This window comes from Homo sapiens, chromosome 6, assembly GCF_000001405.40.
Source record: "Homo sapiens chromosome 6, GRCh38.p14 Primary Assembly".
Lineage (NCBI taxonomy): Eukaryota > Metazoa > Chordata > Mammalia > Primates > Hominidae > Homo > Homo sapiens.
In genome coordinates, this window is record NC_000006.12 from 51,677,294 (window position 1) to 51,690,166 (window position 12,873).

Here is a 12,873-nt window from a genome sequence, read left to right on the forward strand (position 1 = left end):
CTCTGGCACCATTTTCAATGAGGAGGATGCACTCTAATAGCTAGTTACTGGTGTAGTGAAGTGGCTTTCAATGCTCGGGAGCCACAAAACGCCCAAGAGTGAAGACAGTTCGAAAGGACTGAAGATACTGCCTAAGAACAGGAAGCTGCTGTATGAGGAATATATGCATCTGCAGGTGTAAAATGGGCTGGTAGACTTCAGGAACTACAGATCATAGGATCTGTCACAATTTTATGAGCAATCTCGCCAAAGTTTTGTAGTTGGGCCTATTTTCCATGAGGACGCACTTCCAAATTAATACAAGAAAAACGGAAAACTACATAAAACCAGCTATTGCATGAAGCAAAAAATGTCTGTAAGACTTTCTGTTAAAGGCCTTTCTGTCTCTACAATCAGTTCTTTCAGGGAATATCTCAAAATATTTGTTCTCTTTTAATAAAAGTTGTTGCATTGATAAAAAAGATCAAGAGATGAAAGTTAAGTGATGGCATGACAATATGAGAGAGAAGGTCAGATCTATACCCAATAGACCCTTCTTCTGATTCAACCATTTTTCCTTTTTACTTTTTTAAATTCAAAAAAAAATCCTTACTTTTATTAGTAGAAATCTGTTCAAACAAATTCAATAGACTATTTTATAATTGTTTTACTAGGGTAAAATGTCATCATCTATACATTGCTTGAAAAAGTGGTTTAGAAAGTGTTTTTGTATTTTCGTTATTTTGTTGTAATATGTTTTCACCTGAAAACATCAAAGAATATGGTCCCAATTATGATTTTATTATTTGAATATTACATTGAAAACAGCCCAGGCAAATTCAAACTCAGGAAGTACAGCTTAGCGAGTGGGAGATCAGATTTTAAAGTCAGAGAGACTTGCATTGCAAGCTGGCTCTGCCACTTTCTAGCTGCAAAACACAGACAAGTTACTTATCCTCCCTCTGAATCATTTTTTTCATTGTCAAAGGGATTGGAAATGGTACTTAATTCATAAGCTGATGGAGAGGGCTAAGTTAGATGACGTATGCACAGAGTGAGAGAAAAACACATGTTAATAAATACAAGCTGTTACATTCCTATAATTTTAAAAAGAGAATTTTTAAAGCTACCTTCCAGTCTCCTTTTGCCTTTTATGGCTCTATCCTTATCTCAAACCAGTGTTTGTCTAGTATTCTGGAACAGCACCTGAAGTGTTGCAAACATTCATAATAAACACTGTTGAAAGAGACAAGTTACAGGTGAAGAAAATGCTGGAAGGTAGAAATGACAACCTATGTTTTCAAGAAAATATCAGCAAGAAAGAAATGCACATACATAAGTACATATACATCTGTGTGTGCCTGTGCACATGTGTCTATGAATAGAGCACCTATATTTTCCACCAATCAAGAAAAAAACCCAACCTGAAAATCTAAGATTATTTTCCTGTTCATCTATTCTTAACTTTCTCTTCATTTCTTTTATAATATAATATTCGCCATCATCACCCTACACCTTCTCTCTACCTTCTTACTTTTTAATGTTAATTTTATTTATTTATTTATTTAGCTAGCTAGCAAATCTTGCCTGCCAGCTTTAAACAAACTGATGTTCATGGGTTAAACACAGGAGCAGCCAACAGCATTCTTTGCAGATGCAATTCCTGGCACACTCTTTACCCAGAATGATAAACTTATCACCTCTCCAGCCCTCAGTTTGAAGCTGCAGCAGTAATTTCTGCTGGGTGCCAAAACTAAAATGAATGTGACTGTGCCATGCCCTGCTCTGAGCTGTGGCTATAATGAGATTTGAATGGGAAGCCCCGGACACAATAAATCTGCGCCATATGTGACCATTTCCTGTGTCAGTTCCTTTCTCATAACCAGTGGAGAATTTTTTTCCCTCTCATGACCCCACACCATGACTCTGAAATCTTTCATGGCTGCTTATGGGCCTCAGGCTTTTTGCAGCAGTTGTATAAATAAATGAATTTGACAGCAAACATCATAACAGTTAGCAGTAATGTGTGTTCGCCACAAGTGCCTATACTACTCACTGGAGAAATGGCACAGGAAACAGCTTGTTTTGTTACCTAAACAAAAGTAGTTTCGTTTGACAAGTGGTGAAAGAATTAGTCAAATAAACTTGAAATCCACTAGGACTTTTTTTTTTTTTGCCAACTCTCCCTGCCAGGGGAATGTTCCCAGCTCCTGAGTGCCCATGACTCACAGAAGGTAAATTTCTCCCTTTTTATTCTGAGATAAAGATCTGCACTGGGAATACAAAACCTTCGACTGATATTTTATATTAATCTTTTCAAGGCAAGAGTGTCATGCATGGGAACTCAGGTAGTCAAGAATTTCCAAGGAAGCCTGTGGTAGAAATGCCAAGCAGGATGTTTCGGGAGGAAAGGAAAGGTGGTAATAATGACCCAACTCGGTGATTCCCATTGAAAGCAAATTGAAGCTTACAAGTGCTTCTTTTCCTTTCACACTGCCTTTATTCAGGAACAAAAAATCTCTACACAAGTTGCTGAAGGAAAGGAAATTAGCATTTTCTCTGCATCTCATTTCTCCACCCTTCCTCTGGCATCTTAATGCCAATCCTGTTGTCTCTGCTGTGAAAGATGTTATACCACAGTGATTATTCTCAGGACTCTGGAGCAAACTGCCTAGGTTCAAATCCTGGCTCTGCTTCTTACCCTCTGTGTAACTCTAGGCAAATAACTTGGCCTCATTGCATCTCAGTTTTCTCCTTTGCAAAGTAGGAATAATAATGCTACGGTATCAAGCTCCTAAGGTGTCTGTGCCAATTAAATGTATTTTAAAAGGCTCAGAACAGTATCTAAAGCATAATATATATTATTATTATTATTATGCCAAACAGAGAGATTTGGAAAATAGTCTCTCTAGCAGTACTAGAAATTTTTTCCACGATGGCTTGATATTGGCAGCTAATCTCAGAAATGAAATTTAAAACTTTTTGGGGAAAATCATAATAGGAGCTTCATGTAAACCATTACGATTAATTTCAAGGTACAGTACAACACTACTTGAAATAAAAATATCACCTGGACCTTGAAATTTTTTCTTATATGAAGGTTATTTTCACACTTTTAAAGGTGTTTACACTTTATCATAAGTGGCCAAGTAACTATTGCCCCTAGAATCTTCTCATATTGCACAGAAGTATCACTGATTAGGAGAGCAAAACTCAAGAGTTATCACAAACTAATAAATCTTAGTCCAGGTATATGTTCTATTTTGGTTTTGGTTTTGTTTTTAATTTAATTATTAAAATGCATTCACTGAAGTATTTTGCTTGTGTGACAATTACAAGAAAGTGCCATAAAATTTTAGAAGGTATGGACAGTAATCAACATGAACAATAATTTCCTATTACAGACAGCCTGCTACCTACACTATAGATTCCCAGTGTCTTTATTTTAATTAAATAAAAAATCCACTTGAATATACATTTCTCCATATTTAAACTTCCAGACTATAGTGAAAAGTCACAAATATAAACAAATTAAACTATTGTAAAGATAAATGAACGGTTAACGTTTTGCTCTGAGAGCAATGCCAATAAAACTTGAAAGGGTGTTAACTGAGGGTAAAAAAAAACATATGCCTTTATAAGACAATGAAGAACCAGTAGGGGGACAGAATAAATATACAGTTAAAAATCGGTTGGTTGTGAATTGGGGTTAAGGATTGACAGAAAACCAAATACATAAGTGGCATCCCTCTATTGTAAAGCAAGTTTAAGTACAACTCCATTTCTAGTAAAATCAATGGAAAACCCCATTTTGTCACTGCTGCCCATGTATAGACTGCATTGCTACATCTAGGAAACCTCTCAGAAATTGATCTATGAGAAATGACTTTTTCCCCAAGGCAATTTCACTGCTGTGGAATGTCATCTGATAAAATGGCTCCCTTGCTACTTCCAAATCCTTTCCCAAGATCAGCTTCTAGGATGTATTTCCTAACTCACCTTAGGATTTCCAAAGGTGAAGATTTAATGCTGTGAATAACTCCAGCTCTTCAGACCAGACATTGCCACCAACCCTGAATAAACACAGGCCTTAGCAATGTCATGTTTGGTTGACCAACCACTGCTATTGCCCCTTAACTAGCAAATAAATACTGCCACCTTGTAAAGTCTGTTTTTCTGAGTTAAAGAGAACACTGAAGGGAATAGATGAACTTTAAAAGACCAGTAGCCTTAATCAAGCATGTAGATCTGTGAAAATAACTGCTCAGCTATTTCTTCATTGTTTTCCTTGTATGTGTGTGAATACATATAAGCCTAGCCTTGCACTTCCCCATTATCTTATTGGTATCTTAATGACTAGTTAATAGGATCATTAACTAGTCATTAACCATTGAGCAGAGGTAACTAGTGTCCCTTTTGGGCCATACTATTTAATTGAAAGAGGTGGTGAACTACAAGCCACAGGCCAAATCAGGCCCACTGGCTATTGTTATAAACAAAATTTTATTGGAACACAGCTATACGCATTTGTTTATGTATTGCCTATGGCTACTTTGCACTACAACAGCAGAGTTGAGAAATTGTGACAGAAACTGTATGGCCTACAAAGTTAAAAATATTTGCCACCTGGCCCTTAACAGAACATGTTTGCCAGTCTCTGTTCTAAGAGTTCTGAGTTTGTCTCTTGAGACAGTGACCAGAAAAGTATGAGATGGAAGCTGATCTTTCAGCTTGAGTTCCTGCCAACCAAAGATGGACAAGAAGTACAAACGAGAAATAAGCCTTTGTTGTTTTAAGCTGTTGAGATATATACAGCATCAGGGTAGACTAGGTTAGGATGTCAGTACTCTGATGGATGCAGCATCTATAATATTCTTAGATGCATCTTTTCCTCCGAACATATATACTATCTCCTGCTTCAGGGAAGAGGATAAAGAACATAAGGGAACTCTTCTTTTGTCCCCAGGAGACCTAGGATGAAAACAGAAACATAACACAATTTTCTCTCTAAACACAAGTTTTCTTTACATAATTTATCATAATATTCACTTTTTCTAATACCTGAGCATCAGTATTCTCTGTTAAAGCTCTTTGTAAAACTAGTTCTATGAATCTCTTCAAATTTGCCTTCTTTTCCAGTGTGATATAAAGATGAAATTTACTTGACATACTGCGCACAGATTACTGAAGTAATTAGGTAAAAATATTTTCATAAGCCCAGAATTGGGATGCTCTAGTCTCTGAGAATGAGTTATTATATTTGGGCTTTGCTTTAATATGGGTGAAAAATGCACACAGCTGGCTCTGCTTGCTCATTTTGCTATGTCCAGGTCTTCTCCTTTGGAGGAAAAAGAAACAGGGCAAGTTGAGTGAACAGCTTGCCTCTGCTTCTGCTTTTTGGAGGCAGAAAGTGATGGAGACCAAAATGAGAGTATAATGTTCCTTGTGTCAGCTATAGAAGGGAAAGCCTAGGGGAGTCTTACCAATAGAAGCTCTGTGACCTGAGGAATAGAAACAGTAGATTGAAGTGTCAATTTCAGTTGATTTTCTTCCTAATCCTGCTGACTTTGAAAACAGACAGGCTACCATGCACCTCAGTTTCCTTATTATGCATACAAAGCAATATACCTGGATACTTACCTAATACAGGGAGAATACATAAAAGTTATTTGTACTAATGTCTGGGAGACATGGCAGGGGAAAATATATTGAAAAAGGAGGCTTTTACCCAAACAATCAGCTAACTAGCAGTAATAAATAGGATCCAGAAGAAAGAGTGAATAAGAAACATGGTGAGATCAACCAGATACCATTTAGTCAGTTGAACAAATCAACTATGAAGATTTTTTTACAAACAAATTTGCTAGAGTTCTTACAAATAAGATTCTGGCTCAGAGGATTTCAGGTAAATTACTTCTAAGTTATCCTTTAAGTTCAATGACTCCTCCTGAAAACTGATGTATCATAATTCAGCAAGGTGAGCAAATTTTAAGGACAATTCGGGATCCAATTTTGAGTCAGAAAACATAACTAGATTACAGAGATACACAATTGACACTAAACACTGGGAGACAGAATGGCTTACTTATACCAAAGGCTTTATTCAAACTTTGAGGCAAAGTAGTGGCTGGAACTATAAGAACAAATACCAAAAAATATATTTACAGATGCCAATCAGACAACAAACACAATATATAGGCTCAGGATGGGAAAGTATACCTGATTAAGCAAAATTGTACCTTATTTTCAACCATATATAAGGTTAAAGAACTATAAGCAGCTGTGTACTATGGTCTGCATATAGAAATACTTCAGGACCATCTCTTCAATTTGGATGATGTATGGCATAGACTCAGGAAATCATAGTAATCCTAGGTTTTATTCCATCACATCAGATTTTGGTAAATTCCGGGGGCAGTGTGAGTAATACAGAGGAAAAAGAGGAAAGAATGTAATTTTCTAGCTCTTCCATTGTATAGTTGTGATATTGTAATCATTGATTTTATACTATTTATTGACCATTTGCCATTATCCTGATAATGAATTCAACTTTGAGATTATAATGGTTAAAAATTAAACGAGAGACACAGTGTTTGCCTTCATGGAGCTTACTCAGTCATGTTTTTAGAAACAAATTCTCCTTCTCTTTTAGAGACAATGAGCTCATGAGCAACTTGAGTACAGATATCAGCCTTATTCACCTTTGCATATGTCCTTCTGCTCCCATATACTCAACCAGTGCCCGATATACAAACCAAGAGAGAAGAAACATCAACATTTCCTGAGTATGTACCATGTTCCAGCTATTCTGAAAGTCTTTCAACCAACAGTTCTTATTTTATTTAATTATCATAGCAAACTGAGCGGTGTGTTTTTATTGCTTCCATTTTCCAAATAAGAAAGTTGAACTTGTAGCTGTACTTGAAGGACTGTGAGATAACAGAACTAAATGTTAGAAGCAGCCTGGTTCCCTGAGTCACCACCAGGAGGGCAGCTACCAGGAGAGTCACCCAACCTTCTTCAGGCTGAGATGTGAGTAAAACAAAGTTTTTCTATTCTTAAACAACTGAGATTTGGAGATTATTTGTTAATTGGAGTAACTCTGTCTCATACAATATCCATGTTTTATGTAAATAAAGAAAATTTAAAAAGTAAGTACATACAGAGAGGCAATGAACAAATAATGCTGAGGTCCCAGTTAGTTTAGAAGCAAAAGGAAGAGAAAAATACAAGCAATCTGACATTGTGACCTACACTACAGCTACCATTTAAAGAGGCTCCAAGGGGATCTATAGGACATCGTTGTCTTCATTCTGTGCTCTTGGAAGTTCACTAAGAAATGACTGTGGATAAGGTTTGCCCTGCTAGATATTCCCCCACTTGATGGCCAGCTTAAAACTGATTTAGAAGATTTTAGAGACTGCTAGGGATTCACAGCTTTACTAAGGTCTGAAAAGCAAGCACTTAAGCAGCATACTGCATGCCAAGAAACAAAATCAGAAGGTACAAGCAGCTGGTTTGACCTTTGAGAAAAGTTTGGCAAAAGGGCAAGAGCATATTTATAACTCCTATGGGACAGTTCATGTGCTTTCCATTGGACTTGCTCTGTGTCAAAGGCCAATTTCCATCCATTATGATTCACTAAGTTAGTTTTATGAATATTATGTTTAGAGAAAATCACACACTGGGTCAAAAGCAAAATTAGAGCATATCCATCATTGGGAAGTTTATCATTTCACCAACTATAAAATTCTTTTTGCTTGAATTTAAGGCTGATTTTCCCTGAAATACATGATTTTCCAGATAAAACTAGCCACTGATCTTTCAAGAATAGTTTTCTGGGTCAATAGAAGCCGCCTTCTGGGAAAATATTACACCCCATTACACATCTGGCCAATTCTTTGAGGCCATTCAAACTGTTAGGAGTAAGAGTGGGAGAATTCCTTCCTGTCCTCTGAGACAATCATTTTATACCCCAAAACTTCAACCTCGTTATTCTTATCTTAGGGCATAATTACAATGTTATTATTGGTCATAAAATTAACCAGATTTTCCTCTCTTTTCTTTTCCTCTTCAGCATTTGACTCCCTGACCTTCTTCAACAGAAAAGTCTATGGGCTGATTATACGCTAAGAATAGAAGTATTTCCTCTTACTTGTTTTAAATTTTCCCACTGTTAATTTCTTTGAGAGCATACTTGTTCTCATATTACAAAACAATGTTAAAAAAAATTTTTTTAAAGAATTTTTACTACTTCTATAAAATCTGAAAATTTTTGCTCTTGTATCCCAGTGTTTCTGAGATTGGTCCCTTTCGTTATCTCACCATCCAGAGGTCCTAGCCTACATTTACGTTGGCCTATAGTTACATGATTCAACTTATAACCTAAGGCCCCTTGCCAGTTGCTCCCTGCACTTCACTTTACTATTTCCCGAAGCAACTTCTTTGTTTTAGTTGAGGAGGGTTGCTACCTTCCTGTGGCAGTGGTTGCCAAAGTATTGTTTTAAGAATCATTACCAGGCCATGTAAGGACTTGGTAGAAAAAATGGTTTTATAGGTTAGCAGTCTGCTGGTGTGAGGGGTGGAAGATATGGTGGAGCCTTGGAAAACTCACTGTCAGGAAAACACAGCTATACCTCCTATGCAGACACTTTGCTCAACAGCACTTAGGCACAACTTACCTGCTGTCTAACCCAGAACTCCATCCAAATTCCATTCCACTTATCCACGTCTGACACTTCTTAAGTTTCTATAAAGATTTTTCTAACACTCTTTCTCTGCTGATCACTGGCTGACAAAATTCATTCTATAATTCACTCTGAAATTGACAGCATTGTCCTAGATGGATGGCATGCTTGGATGACAGCACCTAAATCTTACCTAGAGATTCAAGGTGAGAAGGTTTTTGAACCCTTAACTCATGTTCACCTTGTAAAGAAGGATGATCATCCTTCTACTGTTTATATTAAAATGATTAGACTTGGTAATCTTTAAAACCACAACAAAAGCTGGACTTCTTTCCAAAGAACCAGAACGCTTTACCTCTGACTTTGTCTTCTGCTAATTCCCTTCCTGGTCATTCTGCTCAAGCCACTCTGACTTCCTTGCTAATCCTCACACACTGCAGGCACTCTCCCCACTTGGGGACTCTGCCAAGGCAGATCTCTCTACTTTTCTCCCAGGTGTTCCTGTGGCTCAATCCCACACCCTCTTCTCTGTCTCCTTCTCAGTGAGGCCTACTTTGGTCAGCCTATGTACAAGCATTCTTTTTGCTTTCTATGATGCTCTACATTTTTTCTTTTGTCTATAGCACTTATAACTTTATAATCTACTAGAGAATTTACTTATTTATTATGTATATTACTTAGTCACTCCTCTAAGTAAGCTAAGAAAGTAAGCCCTATGAGAGCAGGGTTATTTGTCTAGTTTTGACACTTTACAACTAGCCAGAAAAGCACCAGGCACATAGTAGACTCAGTAATATGTGTTAAATTGAATAAACTTAATGCATCCATTCGTTTTCAATGATTAACTCTAGAATTTTCCTGATTCGCTCAGATTGAAATTGAACATTCAAGTTGAAACTATGATCTACTCACTTGCATGTTTGAAATCTACAAGGACAACTTTCTAAAAATATTTTGCAAGGACTGTATATTTCATATGTCTTTCAGAGGCCAGATATGAAGTTACATTTTCTCAGGTACTCCACTTTCTCTTGGTTTTCAGAAAAGTTGATGTTCTTGCCCTCCTGAAATCATGGCACCAAAAACGGGGATGTAAGTTCTTTCATTGTCAAGAGTGAATGAGAAGGAAAGGGGAAAAGAGGAGCAGGGAAGAAATGGATAATACTATTTCTAGTACCCTTCCTTCACAGAGAGGAATGAATTAAACATGAGGCAAGAAGGTCACCAAGTTAGTTAGGCATATGAATTAAATCAGATTGTCTGAAGAAAGTACTCTATGAAGATAGGGCACAGAGAAAGAATACAACAAAAATCAGATGATAAAAAATGAAAAAAAAAGTTGCATTTGTATGGCACATTTTAATATGTTAAGTACTAATAATAACTCTTGCCATTATGTGTTAATAATAGATCCTTTTCTGTATCAGCTATATTGTATGCATTATATATAAATGTTGACAACATGAAAGATAATTCCTGTATTTCTATTCTACAGATAACTAAACCTAAGCTCATGGTGTTAAATATCCATAGACACCCATCTATTCAGTGGCCAGCAGGGCCTGAAGCCATATGATAGCCACCATTGCACACATTTTGCCACCATGTCACCTGTTATCATTTGCCCTTCACAACAACTTTAAAAGGCAGAAATAAGAGGTGGGATTTCCATTTGCCTGATGAAAAAACTGAGTTTCTTAAAATTTAGTACTTGCCCAAAGACAAAGTGAATTAATTAAATACTGGTCTCTTGACATCTGTGTCTAATGTTCTTGTCATAACATGATGTTCTTGTCATAACATGATGCTCTTGGTGTTGGTAATAAAACTAATGTTTCTCAAATAGAGGATGAATTTGTGAGTTAGTAAATCAGTTCAGTTTTGACACTGCAATCTCCAAAGAGATCCTAAAATTATTTTCATATTTTCAAACGATGTGGATTAATACTCAGTATCAGATTGCATTCTACAAATAGTATTGCCTTGAGATCCATCCACTTGAATTAACCAAAAAATACTACTAATTAACTAGACTTGAGAAAGGGCTGGTACTAGGCAATGTGACTTTTTTATGTCATATGTCACCTGGATTACATTTTCACTCTGATGTACATGTCATTGACAGCAGTAGGCTGCTAGAATTTGACACCATGAATTTATCTGATGAAGTGCACAGAAAGAGATCTGTTTATTAATTCGTAAGCACAATCTAGAGCCATTTTATAATACAGTATTTCCCCCTTCACAGAATGAATCAGTACTTGACTGATTTAAGTATAAAATGCCTTGGTTTGTTAAACACAACCCCATATTGGGGAGAATTGGACTTGGGTTCTACTAGCAGTTGTCCCAAAATTTGCTATTCTTAAACAAGTTGTCTTCCCTCTCAGGACTTCAAAGTCACCATCAAAAACTTAGAAACATCTCAAGTTAACAACCTAATATCACAACTAAAACAACTAGAGAACCAAGAGCAAACAAATCTCAAAGCTAGCAGAAAACAAGAAATAACCAAGATCAGAGCTGAACTGAAAGAGATAGAAACACACACAAAAAAAAAAATTCAAAAAATCAACACATCCAGGAGCTATTCTTTTTTTAATAAAAATAAATAATATAGATCACTAGCTAAACTAATAAGGAAGAAAAGAGAGAAGATTCAAATAAACACAATCAGAAACAACAAGGGGGATATCACCACGGACCCCACAGATATACAAACAACCATCAGAGAATATTATAAACACCTCCAGTGTTTTCTATTTTATGCATACAAACTAGAAAATCTAGAAGAAATGGATAAATTCCTGGACACATACACCCTCCCAAGGCTAAACCAGGAAGAAATTGAATCCCTGAGCAGACCAATAACTACCTTGAAATTGGGTCAGTAATAAATAGCCTACTAACCAAAAAAAGCCCAGGACCAGTCAAATTCACAGCCGAATTCTACCAGATGTACAAAGAAAAGCTAGCAACATTTCTACTGAAACAATTCCAAAAAATTGAGGAGGGACTCCGCACTAACACATTCTATAAGGCCGGCATCATCCTGATACCAAAACCTGGCAGAGATACAACAAAAAAAAGAAAACTTCAGGCCAATATCCCTGATGAACATCGATGCAAAAATCCTCAATAAAATACTGGCAAACCAAAACCAGCAGCACATCAAAAGCTTATCCATCAAGATCAAGTAGTCTTCATCCTCAGGATGCAAGATTGGTTCAACATATGCAGATTAATAAATTTGATTCATCACTTAAACAGAACTGAAGACAAAAACCACATGATTATCTCAATCAATGCAGAAAAGGCCTTCGATAAAATTCGACATCAGTTCATGTTAGAAACTCTCAATAAACTAATTATTGAAGGAACATACCTCAAAATAATGAGTCATATATGATAAACCCACAGCAAACATCATACTGAATGAGCAAAAGCTGGAAGCATTCCCCTTGAAAACTGGCACAAGACAAGGATGTCCTCTCTCACCACTCCTATTCAAAATAGTACTGGAAGTTCTGGCCAGGGCAATTAGGCAAGAGAAAGAAATAAAGAGCATCCAAATAGGAAGAGAAGAAAGCAAACTATCCTTGTTTGTAGAGGACATGATCCTATGTCTTGAAAACCCCATAGTCTCAGCCCAAAAGCTTCTTAAGCTGATAAACAACTTCAGCAAAGTCTTGGGATACAAAATCAATGTGCAAAAATCACTAGCATTCCTATACACCAACAACAGAGAAGCTGAAAGCCAAATCACAAATGAACTCCCATCCATAATTGCCACAAAAATAATAAAATACCTAGGAATACAGCTAATTATGGGGGTGAAAGATTTTTTTATCCAAAACTAAAACAACTGCTCAAAGAAATCAGAGATGACACAAACAAATGGAAAAACATTCCATGCTTATGGAAGAAAGAATCAATATTGTTAATATGGCCATACTGCCCAGAGCAATTTATAGATTCAATGCTATTCCTATAAACTACCATTGAAATTCTTCACAGAACTAGGGAAAACTAGGCCAGGCGTGGTGGCTCACGCCTGTAATCCCAACACTTTGGGAGGCAGAGATGGGCGGATCACAGGGTCATGAGCTCGAGACCAGCTTGGTCAATATGAAGAAACCCCGTCTCTACTAAAAATACAAAAATTAGCCAGGCATGGTGGCATGCACCTGTAGACCCAGCTACTCCG

At 36.7% G+C, this 12,873-nt stretch overlaps 1 protein-coding gene and 2 long non-coding RNA genes across 18 annotated transcripts in view; 2 read left to right on the plus strand and 1 right to left on the minus strand.

The window, feature by feature from the left end:
• The window catches only part of LOC124900615 (uncharacterized), a 31,884-nt gene extending 25,207 nt beyond the window's left edge, over positions 1–6,677 (plus strand). Inside the window, exon 3 of the long non-coding RNA XR_926871.3 lies at positions 6,632–6,677. This is a non-coding gene — a long non-coding RNA (uncharacterized LOC124900615). The remainder of the gene's footprint in view (positions 1–6,631) is intronic.
• Positions 1–12,873, minus strand: part of PKHD1 (PKHD1 ciliary IPT domain containing fibrocystin/polyductin) — a 472,317-nt gene that overhangs the window by 61,995 nt on the left and 397,449 nt on the right. Inside the window, exon 61 of one of the 16 annotated variants that reach the window (XM_011514686.3) lies at positions 2,280–4,950. The exons of the other annotated variants lie outside the window; for them this stretch is intronic. Coding sequence (XP_011512988.1) covers positions 4,898–4,950 — 53 coding nt within the window. The 3' untranslated portion in view covers positions 2,280–4,897. Of the gene's footprint in view, positions 1–2,279; positions 4,951–12,873 lie in introns of those variants that run through there. 16 annotated transcript variants of the gene reach the window in all.
• LOC105375087 (uncharacterized) lies at positions 6,673–8,120 on the plus strand. The gene is made up of 3 exons (XR_007059605.1): positions 6,673–6,764; positions 6,879–7,011; positions 8,057–8,120. It is a non-coding gene; the product is annotated as an uncharacterized LOC105375087 (long non-coding RNA).